General features: G+C 34.2%; 1 protein-coding gene across 48 annotated transcripts in view; it reads right to left on the reverse strand.

The window, feature by feature from the left end:
- Positions 1-18780, reverse strand: part of BAZ2B (bromodomain adjacent to zinc finger domain 2B) — a 397131-nt gene that overhangs the window by 161695 nt on the left and 216656 nt on the right. For all 48 annotated transcript variants that reach the window (XM_047444047.1, XM_047444046.1, XM_047444040.1 and 45 more), the window contains one exon: positions 1569-1715. In XM_047444047.1, coding sequence (XP_047300003.1) covers positions 1569-1713 — 145 coding nt within the window. In that variant the 5' untranslated portion in view covers positions 1714-1715. Of the gene's footprint in view, positions 1-1568; positions 1716-18780 lie in introns of those variants that run through there.

Raw genomic sequence — 18780 nt, forward strand, 5'->3', positions numbered from 1 at the left:
TAAAAAATATATAGTGCGGCTGGGCGCGGTGGCTCACGCCTGTAATCCCAGCACTTTAGGAGGCCGAGGAGGGCGGATCATGAGGTCAGGACATCAAGACCATCCTGGCTAACACGGTGAAACCCCGTCTCTACTAAAAATACAAAAAATTGGCTAGGTGTGGTGGTGGGCACCTGCGGTCCCAGCTACTCGGGAGGCTGAGGCACAAGAATGGCGTGAACCCAGGTGGTGGAGCTTGCAGTGAGCCAAGATTGTGCCACTGCACTCCTGACTGGGTGACAGTGCAAGACTCTGTCTCAAAAAAATAAAAAAATTAAAAAATATATATATATGTGTATATATACATACATATATACACACATACACACACATATAGTGCTATTTTAGTTATTTTGTAATCCCTAAGAATATATTAGAAAATGGTTTGATCATAATATAATGACAGAATGACATCCTTTTTGTCATTCCATTGATTGGAAAAACAAAAATAAATGAAAACATTTATTTGACAATTTGCTAAGGTATTTTGTAAGCAAATATTATATATTTATGCATCACATTTATGCAAAAGTTTCCATTTTAATTCTGAATAAGAAAAATATCATTTAGTTTACTGCTTATAAACATGAAATAATGTATAAGATAAGAAATAGTTAAAATTAAAATGTTTCCTACCGATAAATAAATGAGTTAATTAACTTTAGGTATTTAATAAAAGGAATGTATTCTACCACACCTTTGTAAAAGAACCAAGAGTGATTTTGGGAGGTGCTTAAAGATATCTTCTACCTAATTAAAGAAAATTGAGGATATTTTCACGTTTGAAATAAAGCTCTCCTTAGTTTCGCTCTTGTTGCCCAGGCTGGAATGCAATGGCGCAATCTTGGTTCACTGCAATCTCCATCTCCCGGGTTCAAGCGATTCTCCTGCCTTAGCTTCCTGAGTAGCCAGGATTACAGGCATGCGCCACCATGCCTGGCTAATTTTGTATTTTTAGTAGAGATGAGGTTTCCCCATGTTAGTCAGGCTGGTCTCGAACTCCTGACCGCAGCTTCCCAAAGTGCTGGGATTACAGGGTGAGCCACCGTGCTCAGCCAAATTTTATTCATGTTTAAGAAACTTGTTATGCTCTAAACTTTAAAAATATTTTCCATCAAGTAAATGATCTGCCTTAGTATACATCTGTGAACTGGAGTAGCTGGAGCTTACAAGGTCATTTCAAATACTGGAAGGAAATCTAGGGCAAAGTGTCTACCAAGGACTTCCTTCTATTTCTTTCCCTCTTGGGCCTATTGTTTTAAAAGACTTCATTAATTTATTAATTAAAATGATAAAACAAATTAAGATATCAAGATTTAACTCTCAAAGACAATTCCTAGGAAGTATAGAATAACCAGTGCTATCCCAGCGTAAAATCCTGAAAAAGCAAAAAGACTAGGTGTTTAACCTAGCCTTTATTCAACAGGTCAATGCAAGTCATGAGAATATTTTATTCAGTGCTCAATAAAATATTATGCAAATTATTAAAAGAATGGCATTCTAAAATTGAGTTAAAAAAGGGTATTCACCACATGGGTTGATTGTAGAGCTAAGTGAAGCAACTCCAGTGGAAAGGCCACCTTTTGAAACTACTGAAGCCACAGAAGGTGTCGAAGATGAAGTTGGTGTAGTAGAGGAGGCTGCTGAGGATGGTAACCGTTCTCCAGACTCCATATCTATGAGAAGGGAAAATGTTAATTCTCAGTATCAGATAAAAAATTTTTTCAAAAGAATTCAACATAAACTTTTTGTATACTTTTAAAAATATAAAATAAATTTCTAAATACATGTTCTTTGGAAAGAGAAAATATGGAGTAGATAAAAACAATATAATTTAAAATACCAACTTATGGAATAAGTTTAAGTATACCAAATCCTCTTGAGTTTTCTTATACCCCCCAAATTAATAGTGGTTTGAATATAGTAATTTCACACAAAATGTGTATTGCCACAACCATAAATTAACATGTTATATTCGTCTTATTCATCCCAAATTACCTCACATCAGTTCACTTGCAACAGAATTCCTATGTTACCTTAATGAATAATTAAAAAAAAACACCACCACATTTGAATGGTCTGCCCCCTTATCTTCTAAATACAGATAGCAATATACTTGTAGCTCTTAAGTGTCCAAGAATCTGGCCTGGGAATCCCCCCCATACCCCTCAAAACAGGCAAATACATTTCAGAGTTTAACTTGAGGCAAGTTTAAACTATGATTTCAAAATGGCCTTAGTTGTGACCCATTTAAAATGACAAAAGCACTTCTAATCATCTTTATTAATTTGTTGGGCTTTATGGTTGTAGCCTTGCATTGGTTTTATTGCAATAACTAATGCTGATATTAAAAATTTGGAATATAATGGGCATTTTATATTCATTTTAATACTCTATGCATGCACTGATCCCACAATCAAGCAAGAAAGTCATTAAATTCACAGATGCTTTAAAGAGAACACGATCTACAATAAGAAAAAAGATACTGCTTGCCTATAAATGAATTTATGATCAGCCACATGAAAACTCTTACCATTTAAATAATCTAACTATAGAAAGATTTCTGTATTGAATTCTACAGGCAACTCACAGAAGAACTGTATCTTTACTAAGAAAAATAGTTGGATTTCATTTAAAAAATTGACTAATTAAAATAATGCAAGGCTAGTGTTTGCCTAATTGTTGATTGAATCCATAAAGTATGTAGATAATTTTTCTCATAAGATAAGATATATATGGGGAAGGTAATCTTAAATTGACATGCAACATCATTAGAAAGACCATTTCAATGAGCCTTCTAATCATATAGAATTCAAAAACTTCTCTTCATATTCTAGTATTGCTGTAAATCACTTCCATAAATGACAGTACTGCTATGATGAGTCTGTCCATATTCTTACAGAATTTGTATTTCTCTTTATCAGCATTCATCATGGGAAAGGCATAGTTGCTACTGATGGCTGCATGCAACTAATGTTTAAAGAGTAGGTTTTGGGTCAGCAACAGTAACTAATGAACTCTGAGACATGTGGCTGTCTGATGGTAAGGCCCATAAAAATTATTTTTACCAAGTCTAATTTTCACTAAATACAAAAAATATGGACTCTTTACCTAGAAGTGAGTTTAGGAAAAAGCTATTTTTTCTTTATAGCTGGTAACCTCATTGTCTTCAAGAATTCTATCTGCTACGTAAATATACTATGTAAAAAAAATAATGGAAGGGGTTTAAAAAAATTTGCCTTTGTACTCCACAGCAGAAGTAATTTGGTGACATAATAAGATAAGCACTTTAGCTGAGTACTTGGCATATAAGAGATCAATATAAAATAGTCATTAACTTTTTATAGGATAATATGCTATGAAGTATAGGTATTTCTTATTGTTGATAAAACCTGATTCAGGACTAAAGTAAGGAAAATCAAGAAGGCAAAAGAAGTAGTCTTGTATACATACTGCTTAATGGATATTACTTTCCCTGAAGAATTAATCTGAATAATTATTTAAATAAACGCACATGCACAAATATGTGTGCGCGTGCACACACACACACACACTCACAGATAAAGTATCATTAGGTAAAGTGATATATACAACGTTGTTTGCTACAGTACTGCTTAAAAATAAAATTTAAAACTGGCAATGAGAGTAGAACTAGAGCTAGTAGTATAGGCTGGGGCCTTTTTTAGTTTCAGTAAAGGTGTAATTTTTTTTCTTCTATATCTGGTTCTTTTTGCTCATTTAAGTAAGAAGGGGCTTAACTTCTTAAAAACATATGCTTATGTAACCATTTTCCTTAGAAGCTCTATTATAGACATTATTCATGTATTATTTTATTTCAACTATATTTATACTAGGTATTTTTAGCCTAAGATTTATTAGCTGGCTGAGTAGTCTTCTTGCATGTAAAGTACTAATTCTCTCATACTGGTCTTAAGTAGTTGTTGTTTTTAATAGGCATTTCTTAGTTCTAATAACCAAAAATTGGGTCAACTACTGCAAGTTCATCTTACACATACCCTTTTTTTGTCATTTTATAGAAATTTAACAAATCCACTCTAGCCTTTGCACTCTAGAATGAAGATTGTCTTATGCCTGAATTTACAAGGTTTAGTTTTAAGTCTTCTTTTTAAGTTAAATATTATTCTTTCAGTTTTATTTACTATCATCCCCTCTAAAGCACAAGAAATCCTGGCCATCAACTTGATAGTTAAAAGGTGAGAAGGCAATGCCTTTGTAATTGTGAAATTGTATAACTGTGAAAAATCCACAAAACAATCATTGGCTTACCATATCGTAAGAACTAGTCAAAGAACAGGTATAGATATGTAACAAACCTGCATGTTGTGCACATCTACCCTAGAACTTAAAGTATAATAAAAAATATATATATAAATAATAAAAACAAAATAAAATAATATGCACCAAAGGTTACTAAAAGCAGTGGGTCAAAATTTGAGGAGAAACAGGATATTTGCATAGTCTCAAAGTATCTCCTCCAAAATATCAATTAAATGAAAAGATGAAAAGAATAGTTTCACAGTGGAGAAACAACATTACCTATAACAAAATATCAACATCATGTATTTTCTGATGCCCCAGAAGAGTCCATCACTTCTGTGGTATTCTTCCCAAAACTACACAAACTCAGCTGAACCATGAGACACCACACAGACCCAAATTGAAAAACCATATACAAAATAACTGACTGGTATTCATCAAAAGTGTCACAGTCATGAAAGAAAGAAAAAAAAAAAGACTGTGGAATTGCCATAGGTTGGAGACTAAGGAGACTAGGAATTCCTTAGTGTGAGACCTAGGATCCCACAACTAAATGTGATGTGGGATCCTAAGTTGGATTTTAGAACAAGAAAAGGATATTAATGGCAAAACTAGTGAAAATCACATAAGGTCTGTAGTTTAGTTAATAGTATTCTATCAATGTTAATTTCCTGATGTTTATAATTTTGATAATTGCACTCTGGTTATACAACTTATTAACATTAGGGGAAGCTGGATGAAAAATATATGTGAACTCTGTTTTTTATTTTTAGGTCTAAAATTATTTCAAAATAAAAAGTAAAAAAACAAACAAAAAAAAAACCCACAAAGTCTTCCATATAGTAAGCACTAAAAAAAAAATACATATGCATTGAAGTTAAAGAGTATAAAAAACTAAACCTTGAAGGAATGAAGAACAGACTACATTGTGTCACTGAGATATTTGCTAATAAACATTATCTGGGTTCAAACACTGTGCCTGAAGTTTATTAGTTGTGATTTTGTAAAAATTATGTAATTTCTCTCAGTTCTCAATTTCCTCATGAGTGATTTCAAGAAGATGTAGTTGGGAGGATTAAATGAGATAATGCATGTAAAGGGTAGAGTACCTAGCATTTAATACTTGTTAGCTATTGTTTTTAATGAGTGAGCATCTATGTATATAATTACCCATGTGTATATGTGGCAAGAAAAGAAACCTCAAGGTATTCTAAATTATTCATGTTAAAGTGAATATTTAAGAGTTATACTATTTATAGATTATGTATATCCTTACCATGGAATTATATTTTTAGCCAGATAGATTACGTGCTAAGAATTTAAAATAAATGTCTCATAATTGTACCGATATCAATGTGGTAAGGTACGTTATCTTAAAATTTTCCAAATAAGCTGATTTTTCATCTATAATACAAATACAGATGAAAAATTAATACATTCATTTTGTTGACAAAATATGTTATCATGAGTTACTATTTATAATTCAAGCATAGTACATAAAAATCTGCAGAAACTCATTTATTCATATCTTTTTAGAAAAATATATTCATTAAAATAAAAACAGTTCAGGTATCCAAGAACCATCTATTCCTAGATTTCTGTTAGGGCCAGAGCATCCACATCTGACACCTACGCTCCTATAATGGCCTCTCGTTCTGACCCTTTGTGTTAAGAATACTCCTTTCATCTTGGGTTCCAAATGATCACGAACTAACCCATTCTTTGTGTTCAAAACCAGCCTAGATATCACAGGATCACAACAAATGGAGTATAATAACATGACCTCCCGTCTATAATTCAACAATGGAAGAATATCTAGTAGGTACATCTTTTAACTTAAGGCCATTCAAGAGATTATAGTTTCTAATGTATAACTTGGTCATTTTTTTTTGAGAACAAGGTCTCTCTCTGTCACCCAGGCTGGAGTGCAGTGTTGTGATCATGGCTCACTGCAGCCTCAACCTCCTGGGCTCCAGTGATCCTCCCACCTCAGCCTCCCAAATAACTGAGACTACAGGTACCTGTCACCATGCTTGGCTAAGTTTTTCTATTTTTTGTTAGAGACAGGTTTTTGCCATGTTGCCCAGGCTGGTCTTGAATTCTTGAGTTCAAACTATCTGCCTGTCTTCGCCTCCCAAAGTGCTGGGATGCCTTATTTCAAAATTTAACTAGGCTTGGCGCGGTGGCTCACGCCTGTAATTCCAGAGCTTTGGGAGGCCGAGGTGGGCAGATCACTTGAGTTCAGGAGTTCGAGACCAGCCTGGCCAACATGGTGAAACCCTGTCTCTACTAAAAATACAAAAATTAGCAAGACCCACGCGGTAGTGGGTGCCTGTAATCCCAGCTACTCGGGAGGCTGAGGCAGGAGAATTGCTGGAACTCAAGAGGTGGATATTGCAGTGAGCCAAGGTTGCACCACTGTACTCCATTCTGGGCAACAGAGTGAGACTCCGTCTCAAACAAAAACAAAACCAAAACAAAACAAAACAAAAAAATGAGAAGAAAAGAAAAAAGAAGGTTAACTAGTTAAAAGACGACTATAACCACAAATTAACGCAAAACACTATAGTAAAAAAAAAAAAATGTTGTGAACCATGGGAGAAATATGTGCAAAAGATGAAGGGACTACAAATGATTTGATACATTATAGATGTTTCCTGTAGCCTAAAGCAGTGATTTTGGTTTTCTGACACACCATCTCCCCCACCAGGGAACATATGGGTGACATTTTCGGTTGTCACAACTGGAAAAGTGCTAATGGCATTGAGTGGAGATAGAGGCCAGGGATGCTGTTAAATACCCTAAAATGGACAAGAAGAACAGTCTTCCCCTACAGAATTATCCAAACTAAGTTGTTAGTGTTGCTATGGATGAAAAACTCTGATCTAAAATATCAAAAAGGGTATTATTTGAAATTCAACTAGCTAAAACTTTAATAGTAATTCTATATAACTATAATAGTAAGGTGAGTCAAGCTGATTTTGATGACCCAAAGCTACTGTAATAAGTGATAAAATTATACTCAACATCTTTTGTGTCAGCATCCTTCTAAGAGTCTAATATTTCACATTTTATCCAAATGTTTAAACACTGATAATGTATCACATGTAATTAACACACATCACAATGCTCACTCATACTGGGTAACATACATTTGCTGTATTTTACTAAAATGACATTTATCTATAACAATTCTGAGCGCAAATAAAAATCCAAATTTATGAAAATGACAGACCACAACTTCTTCCCTGCATGATGATTTTATGTACTATAAAAGGATTCAATGATCAGTTGTTAATGATAATATTGTTCAAGTTTATGTATCTCAAGTATTCCTGTTTTGTGTAATCATAGAGTTCATGAACACTGACAGCTGGTAGGTGTAAACCTGAACAGGTGCTAACAGGGAGACCAAGACACGTTGCCTGAGATATGTAAACATGATTAGTTCCCTGTGTTTCAGGTGCACTGATACTTTAGTGTTGCCATATACCGTCAAGAAAAGCAAGGTAATAAAAAAAAAAGTATAGCCACAGATTAAAGATGCAGAAATTACAAATAAAAATAGACTTAGATATTTTTCCTGAAAGGACTTTTTTTAAAGAATGATTTTATTTGTACTAACAGTAGCAAAAGTTATCTGTGGGAGTTCAAAACACAGCAGATTCAGTGAGTCCTTACTTTTCCTTTATAATGTAACCTCAGAGAAATATGATAATTAGGAAGAATATCAGGAGGTAGTCACTATGCTACTTCTTTTGGTTTATCAGAACCACTAAGAGTAGAGTTTTATTATACAAGTTCAATATTTTCTAAAAATTCTGAGAAAGGTTTACATATAATTATTTGTTTAGACAACTTCCAGGCAACTGAACATTTGAACATATAAAACTTCAAGATATTAAATAGCAAAACAGAAACAAAAACCAGGCAACAAATGAAAAATCTTCTGTTAAAGGACATTCAGAAATAGGGGATGTGGCCGAAATACCTTATCAGACAGCAGACAAAATTATTCTTTGAAAATAATATGTTCATAGGAAAAAGATTCTATTCATAAAATTTTTATTTACCTAAATTTTCTGAAACAGAATTTCAAAGAATTAAGTATGGTATACAGTGGTTTAAAATGTGAATATGTAAAATGAATTGCTTTTTTTGTCATTTGACACATTTTACCACTATAAACAAACAATTTATTACATCCTCAAACAGAACTGGCTGGCAACCAGGTGTTCTGTGTGTTAACCTGTGATATTCAGCAAGTTTCAGACTCCCCTAAATACTAGTTTCCTTACCTAAAAAATTATGAGATTGAATTAAACCAGCTCTCAAGTTTCTATCAGAGTTTTACAAAATTGGTGGTTAAAAAACAACTGACCCCCAAAACCAACAAAAAACACACACAAAATTAATACTGCATTGAAATATTTAACAATTTAATTCCATTTTGTCCTTATCATTCTTTTCATTGGCAGTCTTGATTCTATCTCCAAATGTGTATCATGTTAAATTATAGATTTCTGTTAAATCTTTTAAAGATTTACTCTTGTTGTACTTCTATCTCAAAAGACCTGATGGTGAGAAATTATCCAAGGGTAAAAGCAGTGGTTTTCATATTGCTCAGCGAATAATCTATTCAGAGAGTATCCCTTTCCATCCAAAGGATTAAATATTCCTTTGCAATGAGCTATCTGTGGGGAAGACGTTATCCTAAGACTTATGAAAAAGATATAAAAGATAATAAGAGTTAAGAAAGATTTAATATCTCTATATCAACTAAATTGTAGGTATAGTCTGTGAATTTAAATACTAACTAGACTTAGAAATGTCTAACAAGGAAACGAAGGTTAGAAAGATAAAGAGAGATATGGTGTATGGTTAGCTGATCCTTTCATCTACAAATCCAAGGGGCTCCAAAGAACAAGCAAAAGACCTAAAACTTTGCTTAACTAAGAAACACAATTAAAATTTTAATTAGAATATTTAAGATAGTTCTGGAAAGCAACTGAAACCAATGCATGAGATGAAAAAATAAAGCAGAGAATCAAACAGAAATCATATTACTCTATATAAAATATCCATGTATACTCAGAAGCCCAGGAAGCAAAGTCTAAGTACTACATGTCTGATGAACTAAAATAAAAAGTCCCTTTTAATAGGAAAGATGCAGAACCATATAACAGGAACAATATACCTCTTAAAGAACAAAGTGGGGATAACAGGTTGTGAATACCGTGAAAAAAATGTGGGCTTTTCTTTTTCTTCTTCTTTTTTTTTTTTCTTTTGTGCTGGTCACCCTCACATTAGGTTTGTCTTTTTAGTATTACCACTTTCCTACTCAAAAGTCTTCAAAGGAATATATATCCTAGAAATATACTCAAACACATTGGTAAATGTATACATAAAGGATATTTATTACACCACTATAATGGCAAAAGACTTTTAAAAACACATTTCCATCAATAAAGAATTGTTAAATTAGATTTTAAAAATCTTTACTAGATTACTATGCAGGTGTTCAAAAAGAAAGAGGTAGACCTATACTAGCTAATATGTTAAATATAAAGAGCAAGGTGGTGGAGACTATAAATAGCAAGATCTCATTTGTGATAAAGAAAAATAAGAGGAAGATATATTCATATACTTGTATGCTCATAGACTATTTCTAGAAAAACATGTAAGAAATTTGTAACTGTATTTACTTCTAGGCAATGGGGAAACTGGATTCTAGGATGGGATAATTATTTTTCACCACATATTTTTTCTGCTTGAATGTTTTACCATGTGATTGTATTAATGACAGTTAAGTCAACAAAAAGAGAAAGATTTCTAAAGGTTTGTTATTGCTAGAAATTACCTTTCAAAATGCTCCAGAGTCTTATGCTACCTTTAAGTCTTAGGAAGCAGGGAACCTACTCCCAGTAACCTTGAAATAGAGGCTCTAGCTCTGGCCCACATACCAACTACTTGTGTCAAGGATCTTCTTTTGTATGTTTTGTACATTGTGATTCTATGTGAGATTTTGTTTAAAGAAAAGGTCCCAGTGCTTTTTTAAAAAGGTGGTAAACCATTGGTTTAATGAATATCAGTTCTCACTCCAGTTCTTAATAACATGGGTATCTTTCTAATCCTACTCACTGTGATGTCAGAGTCTGAATCCTCACCTTCAAGTAGGAGGCACTTTCACTGTTCCCTGGTCTTTAATTTCTAATTTCAAACCACTGCCCACGGTATCTTAAATCTTATTTCCTCATGGTGATCATATTCCTAGTTCTGCATCCTAAACATCTAGACTCTGACCTGTTGAGTCAATCACCTACTTGGGGAGGTTTTAAGTGATTTATTTTGTTATCTATCCACTATTCCCTTTCCAAGTTTCAACAAGAGAAGCAAACAACCAGAAGAAAGAACTTCAGAGCTTGAAGACAAGGCTTTTGAATTAATCCAATCAGATAAAGAAAAAAAAAAAGAATTTAAAAAAATGAACAAAGCTTCCGAGGAGTCTGGGATTATGTTAAATGACCAAAGATAAGAATAATAGTGTTCCTGAGAAAGAGGAAAAATCTAAGTTTGGAAAACTTATTTGAAAGAATAATCAAGAAAAACTTCCCTGGCCTCGCTAGAGATCTAGACATCCAAATACAAGAAGCTCAAAGGACAGCTGGAAAATTAATCACAAAACGATCAGGATTACAGGCCACAGCCCAATTGGATTTTTTTTTTAACACAAAGAATTGGATTTTTTATTTTTATTTTTTAATTTTTTAGACAGAGTCTCACTCTGTTGCTCAGGCTGGAGTATAGCAGTGCAATCTCGGCTACTGCAATCTCCACCTCCTGGGTTCCAGTAATTCTTCCGCTTCAGCCTCCCAAGTAGCTGGGACTACAGGTGCCTGCCATCACTCCTGGCTAATTTTTGTATTTTTAATAGACACAGGATTTCACCATGTTGCCCAGGCTGGTCTTGAACTCCTGACCTTAAGTGATCCACCCGCCTCGGCCTCCCAAAGTGCTGGGATTACAGGTGTTAGCTACCGCACCCACCAATAATTGGATTGCTTTTAACACAAAGAAAGGATAAACACTTCAGGTGATGGATATCCCATTTACCCTGATGTGATTATAATGCATTGTATGCCTGTATCAAAATATCTCATGTATCACATAATATATGCCATGTACCCACAACATTTGAAAATAAAAAAGAACAAAAAAAAGAAATACACCAAAATGTTAACGATGGTTCTCAGAATGGTGAAATTATAAATGACTAATTTGTTTTTATACTTTTCATTGGTTTTTTATATGTTTCAGTCTATTTCAATTTTCCACATTAAAAAATATTACACAAAAATGAAACACACCCATTTTCTGTTTTTTTAGGGGGAAGAACTAACCTTAAAATTTATATTTAGCATAGGAAAAACTACTGATCACAAGGTGATCAACAATGAAATGAGCTATTTTACAGAGGTAAAATCTATCCTTGATGATACTTTAGGAAGCTGATTAATAGTCATTTCTCCAGGATGGTCCAGAAGAAGTGAATTAGTCACAAACTCTGGAGCTTCATTTCCAGGTACCATTAACCTAAAGAGTCACAAAATTTCAGTAACACTAAAAAGAAATAATTTTACATTAAAAAGCCACATGTATTTTGAGAACCAACCTATCAGTGTTACTGGCCTATTCACTAACCAAAAAGCAAGATTCTAGATTAACTCATAAAGCCTATTTCCTCTCATTTACGCTTTTCCCCTAATAATGAAGAGACAGCATACTATCCATGGATAGGTATTTCTTGATGTCCAATATGTTACACCACTGAGTCGCTGATTATTCAAGTTATCAAGAACAAACTTGATAGAAATGGAAAAACAGCAATGAAATAGAAGACATAAAGAAAACTAATAGAAACTTTAGAACTGACAACAGTAATCTGAATAAAAAACTCACGAATGGACTCAATAGCAAAATGAAGATGATAAAAAAAAAGAGCCAATGAACTCAAAGGTAGATCAATAGAAATTATCCAGTCTGAACAACAGACAAAATAAGCATCGAAAAACAGTTAAAACTGACCCAGGGACCTGTGAGACGATAACAAAATGTCTGAGATTCATGTCAACAGAATCTTAGGGGAGGAAAAATGGTGTAGAGTTGAAAAATTATTTGAAGAGGTGGTGGCTAAAAACTTTTCATTTTTGGTTAAAGACATAAAAACCTAAAGATTCAAGAAGATGAGCAAACCCCAAACCGGATAAACCGAAAAAGAAATTGAAATCTAGACTGAAATGCCAGGTGTGATGGCTCATGCCTATAATCTCAGCACTTTGGGAGGTCTGGTGGGAGGATCACTTCAGGCCAGGTGCTAGAGACCAGCCTAGGCAAATTAGAAGAACCCATCCCTACTAAATTTAAAAAAAAAATTAGCCAGCCAGTATGGACTACAGGCACCTATCTGTAGTCCTAGCTATTTGGGAGGCTGAGGCAGGAGGACTGCTTAAGCCCAGGAGTTTTAGGCTGCAATGAGGTTTGGCTACACCACTGCACTCCAGCCAGGGTGAGAGTGAGACCCTGTCTCAAAAAAGTTAGAAAAAGAAATCTAGACAGAAATGAACAAAATGGACAATTTTCAACTATACAGCTTCCATCAATTTATTCCTTGAAAGTAAGCTGAAGCTTGGAATTACATTATATTGGTTTTCACCTATTCTTTCTTAGTCAATGTCAAAAACTAACTTCTTATAATGTTAATTTTTTCCTACATTTATGACAAAATTTCATAAATGCTAGCGTCTAAAAGAATACATAGCAAAATCATGCTTTAATTCTTTTTGTAAATACTAAATTTACTTATAATTAATAATTCTTAATCGAGAAACCATACATCAAACAGATATGAAATATATAGATGAAACATGTAAGATAGTCAAATCTCCCCTTGTTACACTTTTCAATCCAAGCTTTAAAAAATGGTCCAATTATTTTAAACAAAATTTTATAATGCAGAAGTCCAAAATAGCAATAGAATCTACGCGACCTCCTAGAAGTTTACTAGCATGGGTATGACCCATCTAACCTAAACCAAATCTTAGTATTATGGTTTCATATTAACATTTCACGTTAACTCTTTCCAGATTGATAATATCAAAAGTAAACCTTGACGTTTTGGGTTTTAGAGTTTTTTTGTTTGTTTGTTTGCTTTGAGACATGGTCTCACTCTGTCTCCCAGCCTGGAGTGCAGTGGCGTGATCACAGCTTACTGACTGCAGCCTCGATCTTCCCTGCTCAAGCAGTCCTCCCACCTGAGCCTCCTGAGTAGCTAGGAGACCACAGGCTCATGCCAGCACACCTGGCTATTTTTTTTTTATTTTTATTTTTGAAGAGATGGGATCTCCCTATGTTGCTCAGGCTAGTAACTTGAAGGTTTTAAAGGGGATATAAATGCTATAGACACATAAAGAAATTAACATTTAACACACACTGTGCTTTGGTTAGCACATTGCAAACCTCTGGAGCTCCAGCATGCATCCCTGGTCAGCTTCCATTTTTCTCAGAGGTCTCCATTAACGTAGGCAAGATTGACAACAAAATGCACCTATAACATGCTTTCTGACATTACTGGTCTTGTCTAGAATGCATGAAAACTTCCCCCAAAAACAGCTTTTTCAGAACCTATTATAAAGATCTGCAAAAACCCAGAAGTTTGCAGGAGTCTATTTTATGGCTACTATTAAGTTTATATAAATTTTACCTGTTTAATATGTCTGAGGGTCATATTAACCTTAAAACAAAATTTTTAAAGCAGGCTCACAAAAATTTATTCTAGTCCTATCAACACTCACTAATGTATGTCCTCCCTCCTTTAGTTGGCTATTGATATCAATAACAAGGCTTAGAAATATGCAACAACCAAATTGCTTATAGATTTAAAAGGTAATTTCAAACATTCCCAATTTAAGTAATGTGCACTTCTGATGTTTAATGGTTTCTAAACTAATGATTGCTAGTTTAACACGTGCCTATCTGCTAGAAAGGAGGTATATAATAATACTAGTGTTTGGGAGAAAATTAACTCTCTAATTGATGAGTATTAAAAGTCTTCTGTTGGCCAGGCGCGGTGGCTCACGCCTGTAATCCCAGCACTTTGGGAGGCCGAGGCGGGCGGATCACGAGGTCAGGAGATCGAGACCATCCCGGCTAAAACGGTGAAACCCCGTCTCTACTAAAAATACAAAAAAATTAGCCGGGCGTAGTGGCGGGCGCCTGTAGTCCCAGCTACTTGGGAGGCTGAGGCAGGAGAATGGCGTGAACCCGGGAGGCGGAGCTTGCAGTGAGCCGAGATCCCGCCACTGCACTCCAGCCCGGGCGACAGAGCGAGACTCCGTCTCAAAAAAAAAAAAAAAAAAAAAAAAAAGTCTTCTGTTAAAGGTTATAGCATTTTAGAGCTCTAAACTGATATTCAAATTTTTAGCAATCATATTACTTTAAAACTTCCCATAGGCTATAATAGAAGTCAAAATTCTCCTATTAATAATTAACTATTATAGCCAACTGTTGCTGAAGATAGTCATTATTACCATCCTAATTCTTCTTTTTATTTCTCTGACCTGAACTGTCATCTAATTCATTCCTCTTTCCCCATGAACCAATTCATTGACAAAAGTCATGTGGCAGCACATATCTATTCTCCCATTCGTATTAACAACAAAATTATACTGAAACTCCTTAGGCTTGACCTTATAGGCTTACTTATTTCTCAAAACTTACTTTCTCTGTATTTCCAATCAAACTTAATTAGTCACCATCACCTGGTTCTTGCACCATACTTTCCCAAATCCTTAATTCCAACTGCATCCCTCTCCTTAACATGTTCTTCATCCCTTGCCCCATAATTGCATATCAAATCCTTCCTATGCTTTAAACCCCAGGTCAAAGTGACACCATGAATGACACCCCTGACAAGGATACCCATAAATTACCTAAGCTGAAAGTCAGATATCCCAAACCCTTAGCACTGTTGACTGCTGACAATTTGGAGAAGTCAAAGTTCTAAATCCATAATAAAGTATTTTATCACTGTCTCTTTCACTGCACTTACCATATTTTATCCTGTATTACAACTATGAACTTGCATACATTTGCCTAAGAATTAGTAAGCTTATGGGAGTAGAAATCATGTTTTTAGTATCTTACATTTCCCAGAGCCTTAGAGGAATACTTTGCTTAAAACAGTTGCTTATTGAATGTTTGTTGAATAAATGAAAATGTGTCTTCATTATTTATGTGCCTTAAATTAATACTTCATATTTTAAAACAAAAATATGACAAGAAAAACAGCAACACTGTAACTATTAAGTTATAAAATCTGGATATTGGAGCTAGTATTTTATCAAGTCTGTTTCAAAATTATCACAGATTTTAAAATTCAAAGAAAATAATTGATTAAAAATAATTGTATTTCATACTTCAATGACAGAAGTCATTATCAACACTTTCAATTCAAACTCAGAATTATAGTATTTTTGTTGTTATCTGTTTTTACATTTGTAGTCCTTGCTTTTAACATGTCAAAAATCTCAGTTAATGTGCCAACAACCTCTGTTTTTGACACTTTCGGCACCAACACTAACATAATAATACAATTACTGAAAACACAGTTCTTTTGATCCTCAAAATACAGTAAACTAGTAAAACTAAAATATCTAAAAGTCACTTTAAACAGTTCTTTTGTGTGGTTATACCTTCAACTAGACACAAAATCAGGTCCACTCATTACATTTCATTGCAATTTTTAAGGACAGCATTCAACCATACAGCAAGCAATTCAGATGAACCCAAAATCAATGTATCAAAAGTAATATCTAAAAGTGCACTGTCCAATAGGACAGCCATTAACCACATGCAGAAAATTACATTTAAATTAATTAAAATTAAATAAAATTTAAAAGTCACACTAGCCATATTTTAAGTGCTCAACAGCTATCACATCATTATAGAAAGTTTTATGGCACAGTGTCTATCTAAATGATAATATTCTTCCCTCAGACCTGAAATCCTCTCACTTAGTGAGGAAGCCTGTTTCATACTGAGTAACTCGACTATTAAAACTGTTAAAACATGAGTTGGCAGCTTTAGGGCAGATACTACCTTATTAAAGTTTTCTTCAGAAAGATGGATGTGCAGTATTAGATACAAATCAGCAGTTAGCTCTATGAAGAAACTTAAACTAATATCATGTTACCATGTTTTCTTCACAGGGTATACTTACCATTACTAAAATGTTGGAATTTCATTAAAATCAGTGGTAGATTACTTGAGGTGGAGTTTAGCTTATTTATATTCACTTAAAAGCTTAAACTATTCACTCAGAAGATAACCTGAAATAACTCTCATTACATCTTTCATTACTTCTCAAATGTTTCCACTGAAATATCCCTAGCACAAATTGGAAGAATTTTGTTCTATTTGCAATATTGTAGGTCCAGGTTTTACTGGCAGAAGAGGCCATAAACATATACCTGATATAAGTGCTCAATGTATTAGTTAAAAAGAACTGAACAGAAAAAAAGCAGAAACAGGTTATGTGTGCATGGGTTTCCCTTTGCCCTTCCACTGATGCTGATGACACTCTCCGTACAGGGAGGGTCTTCAAGAGCTGGTAAGAAACTAAAGCCTAGGTATTCCACTGCCCTTTTATACACTAAAGCCGAGGTATTCCACTGCCCTTTTATACTAGCACTTGCATTAGAATTCCAGAAGGGCCTATTACTAGGTAGGCAAAGCAAACATAAATAATATACAGGTAATGCTGGCTACCAACTCTAAAATTTTAAGTCATTTCTATTGACTGAACTCTTTAGTCCCAGTTACAGCAATATTTTTAAAACTTCGGGTCATAACCCATTCAAGGTCATGAAATCCACATAGTAGAATCATAAAAAAATGAAATATTCTGGGTCACTCTCAGAGATATTTGAAAAACACATATATATTTGGTTTCCCAGTAATGTATGGTTTCTACAGGGAAGCACAGAAGGATTTTACAATCCCTAATCATACTAGCTGCTATATTAAAATGATTACTACTATATAAATATATAAACTACTATTTATACATATAAGTACATTTATATAAACATACACACTCACATATACATGCACATACTACTACTACTACACTAGCAGAATTCAGGCTTTCTGTACACAATTCACTGATGAGAGCAGCTGTACAAAATTCTAAGAATTCCTCTAGGGCTCGGTGGCATATACTCTTAACCTTCCAGTCTATGACAAAGAAATATGGAGTATTTAATTTGGCTGGGCACCTGGAATGCCACCTAAATACTAGTCTTTTATTCTATATACTCAACTAATTAAAGATACATCAAAGTTATTTCACCCAGATGCTCTAAGTGATAATTATACAAACTTTAACCATTTATGAAAACATCTGATGTTCAACCTTTCAGAAAGCATTTGCCACACCATGAAGCATGCTAGGCGCTCAGGATATAATGAATAAGTCAATTAGGTCAAATACACTACCTCAAGGGTTTATACTCTAGAGTAGGTTGGAGCAATAGTGGACCTAATCAATGCTGAGTTAAACAGATTCTTACTAGTAAGAAATTGAGCTAAGTGATAGTACCTGGGTACTAGGCATTAGAAGATGGTATTATATAAATTTAGGAAATGGGGTGGCCTTTTCAGGGGCCATATGTGTAGATGAGCAAACAAATTAAGAAAATAAGTAAGATATGCAGTTGGAAGATATTATATTTATTCTTAATTTTGTTAATAATTAGGGATATCTATATTAAAAGTTATGCATTTTCTCATGCTCCAAAAAATATAAAAACATTTAATATGAAGGCCGGGCGCGGTGGCTCACGCCTGTAATCCCAGCACTTTGGGAGGCCGAGGCGGGCGGATCACGAGGTCAGGAGATCGAGACCATCCCGGCTAAAACGGTGAAACCCCGTCTCTACTAAAAATACAAAAAATTAGCCGGGCGTAGTGGCGGGCGCCTGTAGTCCCAGCTACTTGGGAGGCTGAGGCAGGAGAATGGCGTGAACCCGGGAGGCGGAGCTTGCAGTGAGCCGAGATCGCGCCTCTGCACTCCAGCCTGGGCGACAGAGCGAGACTCCGTCTCAAAAAAAAAAAAAAAAAAAAAAAAAAAAAAAATTTAATATGAAAAAAGAAAATGCTTCTGAAAATAGATTGCCATCTTAGAATCCAATATTAATTATAGATTTAGAATAGTTTTTATAATATATAGGACATTATATAATTTTAATTATTTGCTAATTATCAAATTTATGATTCATCTTTACTTATAAATTTTAGTATCTACAAAGACCACATGGTAGTGTTGGAGTAAAATAGGAGAAACAGATATGAGTATCTAAAACTATATATACATTTTAATCGAAGAAGAAATACTTTTTTTTTTTT

Source organism: Homo sapiens, chromosome 2 (genome assembly GCF_000001405.40).
Source record: "Homo sapiens chromosome 2, GRCh38.p14 Primary Assembly".
In the NCBI taxonomy this organism is placed as follows: domain Eukaryota; kingdom Metazoa; phylum Chordata; class Mammalia; order Primates; family Hominidae; genus Homo; species Homo sapiens.